Genomic DNA, 7,066 nt, shown 5'->3' on the forward strand with positions numbered 1-7,066 from the left:
GGTGCCCTCTGTGAATCCTGCCCTCTCAGTCCCTCCTCACTGTCTCCCTCAGTGGAAGAAAGGAACACAACCTGACACACCCCCATCCTCCATGCTCTTCTTCCTCATGCCACACCCTTCCTTGCCCTCTGTAGCCACACCCTGGGCCTTCACTGTCAGTGTAGCCTGCAGGGTCTGCATAGCACAATAGCTTGCGTCACATCTGGAATTATCATTGGAGTTGTAGGTCTCAAGCTCAACTGCCTACGCAGCCAGGCAGCCAGCTTCAACGTGTGACAGAGTTGGCATAGCATACTAAGGAGTAGTGGGGACTGAGATGCTGTGTGTGTTGTAAGCAAATAAAGGCATTCAAAGTCAATTTAAATATACATCATTGTACTGTTTAAGCAGGACAGCTCCCCGCAAGCTGCCTACCTCCAAATGAAATCTACTATTATTTATTTCTCACAAGGACTAATGAAAGGGCAAAACTACAAGCCATGTCTAAAAATTCTGGTTTACCCTTTTCTGTGCCTAGCAGAGCATGGTGTAAAAACAATAATTAGTATTCGATTTCTTTTTTTACCCTTTGAGTGATGTCTAACATACATACAGAAAAGCATCCAAATCATACAATTCAAGGAATTATTACAAAGTGAACACACTCCTGTACCGGCTACTAGGTCAAGACTTAAAACATTATTAGCTTCCCAGGATACCCCATGAGCTGTTCTTCCTCCCCAAAGGAAATCACTCTCTTGATTTCTAACACCATAGATTAGATTTACCTGATTTCTAACTTTAGAAAAATGGAATCACACAACATGTACTCTTTTGTGTCTAGCTTTTACTCAACATTATATCTGAGATTCACCCATACTGCATGTGACAGTGGCTTGTTCATTCTCATTGCTGTATAGTATTCCATGGTGTGAAACACCAGAATTTCTCTATCCATTCTACTATCAATTAGCATTTGGTTATTTGTGGGTTTTGGACTCTCACTAATAGTACTGCAGCATGAGAGAAAGCCCTCAGGCAGAACAACAGAGAGAACTGGATGGTTGTGGTGGGAAATGGTCACAGTAGCAACAAGTGGACTTAGAGGTGAGCCAAGGCATGATGGGAAGAGATGATAACAGCATCCGCTACCAAGCCCCTCTAGAACAGCAATTGTCAAACTTATAGATCAGGATGGTTTTATACTATTAAAAATTATTAAGGGCCCCAGAGGGCTTCTGTTTGTATGAGTTATATAAATATTTATCATATTAGAAATTAAAACTGAGAAATAAAAATATTTTCTTAGTAATTTATTTCAAAATCAACAAACAATAATTACATATACTACATTATATATAACATGTTTATAAATAAAATATTTTGAGGAGAAAATTCTATATTTTTCAAAACAAAAAATGTCAATGAGAAGAATGGCTTTCTTGTACTTTTTTTGCAAATCTCTTGACTAGCAAGCAATGTGGCTTAATAGAAGACTGCTGGATTCTCATATCTGCCTCTATGTTCCATCTGGTATGGTATCACATGTCACTCATGAAAGAATGAGTGAAAATGGCAAGTAGTGTATTAATATCATTATAAAAATAGTTTTGACTTTGCAGACTCCCTGAAAGGATCTCAGGGATCCCCAGAGGTTCCCTGAACAAAACTTGAGAACCACTGCCCTAGAACACCATGGCCAAGTGCCAGCCAGCTTTAGAATAGAAACGTCCAATGAATTGAAAGCTCTAAGTTAGCCCACACAATGGGGAGTTGCTACTTACTGCAAATCACCATGAATTAATTTGCTTCTTAGCTGATTAAAAACCCATATGTTCTTCTCAACACTTTATAATCCTTCAGTTTGAAATGTATTGCTTTTGTTCATTTTAAGCCAGCAATGTGCATTAGAAATATGATGTGAGTCATTTACGTAATTAAAAAATTTTTAGTAACCATTTAAAAAATGCAAGAGAAATTGGTGAAATTAATTTTAATAATGAATTTTATTTAGCCCACTCTTTTCAAAATATTATCATTTTGGTATATAAAATCAACATAAAGTATAATCATAAAAATCAAATCAATATAAATTATTAATGAGATAGCTTACGTTCTTTTTTATACTAAGTCTTCAAATTCCAGTGTATATTTACATTTATAGCACATCTGAATTCAGATGGTAAATTTTCATCAGAAATACTTGATCTGTATTTAGATTTCATATCATTCTATAAAATTTGAAAAAGTAGATTCACAAATCCAGGTTCTTCCAAATGTACTTAAAAGTTTTCCAATAACTGAATGCAGTATCCATATTCAAATTAATTAAAATCAAATGAAATTAAAAATTCAGTGCCTTATTCACACTTGCTACATTTCAAGTGCTCTATAACCACATATGGCTAGGGGCTGCCATATTGGAGAGAGCAGATCTAGATTTTTAATCCTTTGCTTTTCTTATCTATTCTATCCCTTTGTTCTTCAGTGCTTAGAAACTTGATTAGGAAAAACTTACTCATTCTCATTATTTGCCTAGAAAACTGGTGCCATGATGGATTTCTTCATAGGCAAGTTAAGATATTTGACAAAGAGAGAGGTAGGGGTGGGAGAATCACTGTGTAGCCGTAGTTTGCAATGGCAGGTTCCCTTTCAGCTTGGCTTCCAGGACTTTCTCATTTGATATTTTCACAAAACTAGAATAATCTCACCTTGTTTCTGAAACAGCTGTGAAATATGCTGCAGCCCCCAGCCAGCCCTGGAATGGACTTCTTTCTGGTTGGACATGGCAGAAACTTCAATGGGATGACACTATGGACTTAGACCAGGCTGCTGTGCTTATTTGAACTAAGCACTGGGAAGTTTGCTAAGTGCTTAGTGATGAACTCCACATCAGTGTCAGAAAGATAAGGCAGGTTTTCTTGCCGTTTGTCTCCTTGCCTTCATTCAATGGTATGCTATCCAAAAGGTAAAGGGACATAATGGAATGAAATTCTAAGCCGAAAATGCAGCTCTGAGGTTAGCATCTTATAACTCAAAGGCAGCAAAAATAATTTAACAAGTTTCAAAGGGGAGAGCCGAAGAACATCTGTACAGAGTTATTTAAAGATTTTGTTCTGTTTGTGAACTGCATCACTTCCAAGCCATTTTGAATACAGGAAAATGAAAAGTTACTCCATTTGACACAATGGGGATCTCTTACTTATTACTCTCCAAATGAAAAAGACGAATTCCAAGTCTAAACATTTGATCCCATTGCTGCAAGTTTTGTGGCTGGTCAGTTGTTTGTCATTGAATGGGCAAATGAGAAAAATGAGTTTTATCTCCCTCTAATATTTCCCCTTCCCCAAGTTGATTGCTTAAGCTTTTAGCCAATCTTAAAATTCCATCATATCCATTCTCCTAATGTTGGACTCAACAAGAATTCTGCATCTGGGTGCATGATGTCATTTACAATAAATCTAAAAGGAACTGGAAAGCTTCTGGAATTTCCTTATCTGAGGTAGCCAAGCTAAATAGACTTGATTGGCATCCATCAGGAGCTCAGTGAGGGCTAGCACCATTCTGGTTGAAATGATTTCACGCTAAATGACATGCCAAGACTGAAGTTTTCCTGGGCTCCTTGTTGAACCAGATACTCTAACTTTTCTGTTTCCAAGCCCACAGTGCAGAGTGTCAGAGGACCAATGACCACACAATACTACTGGCTAGGCACAAAATGCCTTTCAATTAATACAATCAACTCAGAATCAGGAGTTACATAACTAATACAGCAACTGTGCACCATCTTGAATACATTTGGATTGGGGAAGCCAAGCCTTTCTTTAGCATTCACACTAAAGGCACCAGAGTCATCAAGAGATGAACCAAAGTTCAATCTGAGTGCTAGAACTATTAGGGACCTCAGTGATCATCTAATGCTGTCTCTCTTTTCCTGAATGGTCTTGCTCTTAGGACCATTTTAATGTTCTTTCTCTTTTCTGGGTAAAATACAGTTAATACAGTTTTGTTTTTACTAGGATCCTCATGCAATCTTAGGTGAAGTGTTAGCTAGTTCTAGAACTGTAGAAAACCCCATGGTTTCTCCTCCTCTCCCATGCCCAAATCCTCTTCTACCTGCTGGCTGATGCCTCTAGTTTTACCATTCCAGGTTGGTCCTCTCAGCAATAGGCTTGATTTCCATTAAAATGCAAAAACCCTAGGACAGGCTTAAGCCATTATCAGGTGTTTTTCACTTTGTTGTGAAGGAAGGGTCAAAGTAATATGTTGTGGAATGAAAGTTTTATTTCTGTAAGGCCAGAGGGTTAGAGAAAGGAAGAGGAAGTGCCAGCCTGGAGGGCAAAAGGTTCTAAACTGGGAACTTGGGGGCCCACATGGCAGCTCCACAGACTCTCACTCCTTCTCCCAAAATGTCTTTATTTGTATGTATTTGTCTTTGGACTCCCTGTGGTGATCAGGTACTTGGTAATTGTTCTTGCTACAACTGGAGCTCTGCCAAGTGGAAGGTTCCCAATTGAGAGGCAGCTCAAATCCGGGATGAGGGTCCCCAGCCTTGTCAGAAGGGTGTGTTAGTGCTTTTTTTTTTAATCCCAGTTTGTGGAAGCAGCAGTGGGGATCTGTGCAAAGAGGGAAGGTTAGAGTGTTGTTTTCAACTTCATTTGATATGGGAACTCTTTATCCAGGCTCAAAGGAGAGCATTGCATAAGGGGGCATATGTAGCCTCTCATGCATGCATATGCATGCTTACACCCATGGACTCACACACAAACACACACAACTCTGTCTACACATGAATGTTCCTCCTGAAACACTCAGCAAAGCAAGTGACAGACGTTTCCTGTGGGTAGCTGGGATTTCAATCCTGCTCTTGCTTATTGTCTGTTTTACTAGGATTGGAATGTGAGTGATGGGAGATGGTAAATCTGTACTTTCTGAGGCAGGATAATGGGTTCCCTACCATTTATCATTGGGGTAACCCAGCATAGTGGTCAGGAGCCCAGGCTCTGCCATTTACCACCTCCAATGCCTTGGGCAAGTTGTTTAACCTCTCTACACCTCAGTTTCCTGATCTGTAAAATGGAGGTAATACTATTATCTATCTTGTAGAGTTGCTGTAAGAATTAACTGAAATAGCACATACAAAGAACTTAAAACCATGCCTGACACATAGTAGGTGTTCAATACATATTTGCTGAATGAATAAACCATTACATTTATCATTATTATATTATTACCATGAAGAAACTTCCATTGCATGTTGGCTTTAGATTTAGTGGAAACAGTGAGGAGAGAGTTAAGAGTTGTGACTTCTGTTATTACAGTAGGGCCAGATTGCCCTGCAGGCTCATCTACAGATATTTCTCAGTGTGTGAAGGAAAAGAGAAAACAACAACTAAATGCCTGAAAACAAAACAAACAATGAAATCTGGGGTGAGGGGGAGAGGGAGATTGACATCTTGCAATTAAAGAACAGCTTCTGGAGAGACAGTTGAGTCAGGCCTGGATATTTCCTGTTTCTAGCTCCAGACTTCAGTTGGAAGTATTGTGCTTCCTCCTGAGTTGAAATTAATCACAAAAGCAAAGCATATTGTTCTCTTTTTTGCAGCACTCCTCACTTCTTGCTCCCTTCTCTGCTTCTTGTCCTGGGTCTCTGCCCTGATATAGAAACCAAAATGGCAACACTTCCTTGATGAGAGCAGAGACTGAGTAGCGTGGGGCTCTATAGTGGTATGGAGTACTATGTAAACTCTTCTTGGTTAATCTCCTGATGAAAAACAACTGATGGACTCAGGAACTGGGTCCTGAGTGCTTTATCACTGAGGCTCCCCATTTCTTGACCATGTGGTGAGGACGGCTTCAATGGACACTGGCATCAGGCCTGGTGGATGGAGGTTGGAGTAGCTGAGGGGCAAGGCAGCTCCAGGCCACAGCCAGGCCTTTAATTTTCCACACATGTTCACACATGTACAGGAATTCAGCAGATGGGCTGCAAGCAAGCTTGGGCAGCAATCCACTGACAAGTAGCAGTAGCTCTGAATAAATCACATTGGCCTGGGCTGCAAATTTAGCTCCAGGGAGTGGGGACTCAGGCAAACAAGGAGAAAAGGCATTCACCCAACTTTTTCCTGAAATGCCAGAGGAACAAAACAGGTCAGTGGTGAATACAAAATTAGCTTCTGGCCACCCTCCAAAGTGATCTGACCTATTTGGGACTCATCAAGAATAAGGCAAAGGAAGTTCAGTTGCCTGCATCTTGATCTGTCAAGGGAGAAGAGAGAGGGCACAAATCGCCAGGTGGCCAGATTCCCTGAGTTACTGGTTATGGAGCATATGAATGGATATGGCTGGAACTCATGAGAAGGGCTCTGGGACAATGACTTTGGGCCAACCCCTAGCACAACTTAGCATGCGAATGATAACCCCGGTGGATGCATTGGTAATCTAGTGTGCCAGCTTGGTGGCCCTGGCCACTGAAAGGATTGTATCGCATTCTGAAACTCTTCCTGCAGTCTAAGGCCATACCACCCTGAATGCACCCAATCTCATCCGAAACCCTTCCTGCAAGTTAAACTCATATCCAAGACCCTTATGTAAAAGGGGACCTTGGGCCAAGCCAGCAAAGGGACATTAGAGCCCTAGCAGAGTGCAAAGCTGACCACAACTCCTAGCAGGTTGGAGCTGGTAGTGGATGCTGTTAGTGCCCTGCCTACATCTCCTTTACAAGCTAGTGCATGGGTCCTCCAGCTGCTGTGAGTGTTGGCTGCTAAATGCTATAGCTGCCCTCTTCCCCAGAGACTTGCTGTTGGCCAAATGCAAGCCCCATCAACCATCTCACCTCCAGGTGACACCAGCTCTGTGGTGCATTTTGTGCCCCAGAGATCTCCGTGGGATCAGGCTGGAGCAAATATCCAGCTGAGACTATACTCCTGCTCAGTCCCTTCCCCTACCATATCCAGCTTCCTTCATGCCCCTTCTACTAAGAGCACTCCCTCCATACATTACTTGAACAATAGTGTCAATCTTAACTTAGACTTTGCTTCTGGATAACCCAATCTTAGGCAGAGTTGGGAGGAGGGGCATTTATGAA

The 7,066-nt window shown here is 41.1% G+C and overlaps 1 protein-coding gene across 2 annotated transcripts in view, besides 1 other annotated feature; it reads left to right on the forward strand.

The window, feature by feature from the left end:
• NHS (NHS actin remodeling regulator) overlaps positions 1–7,066 on the forward strand; it is a 360,795-nt gene that overhangs the window by 248,551 nt on the left and 105,178 nt on the right. The gene's annotated exons all lie outside the window — the stretch shown is intronic.
• Positions 3,902–4,761: an enhancer, noted in NCBI's record as "NANOG hESC enhancer chrX:17645772-17646631 (GRCh37/hg19 assembly coordinates)". NCBI's record gives its function as "activates a minimal SCP1, AML or CMV promoter by ChIP-STARR-seq in naive H9 embryonic stem cells {active_cell/tissue: H9 hESC(naive)}" and the evidence as "EXISTENCE:reporter gene assay evidence [ECO:0000049][PMID:30033119]".

Source organism: Homo sapiens, chromosome X (genome assembly GCF_000001405.40).
Source record: "Homo sapiens chromosome X, GRCh38.p14 Primary Assembly".
Classification (NCBI taxonomy): Eukaryota; Metazoa; Chordata; class Mammalia; order Primates; family Hominidae; genus Homo; species Homo sapiens.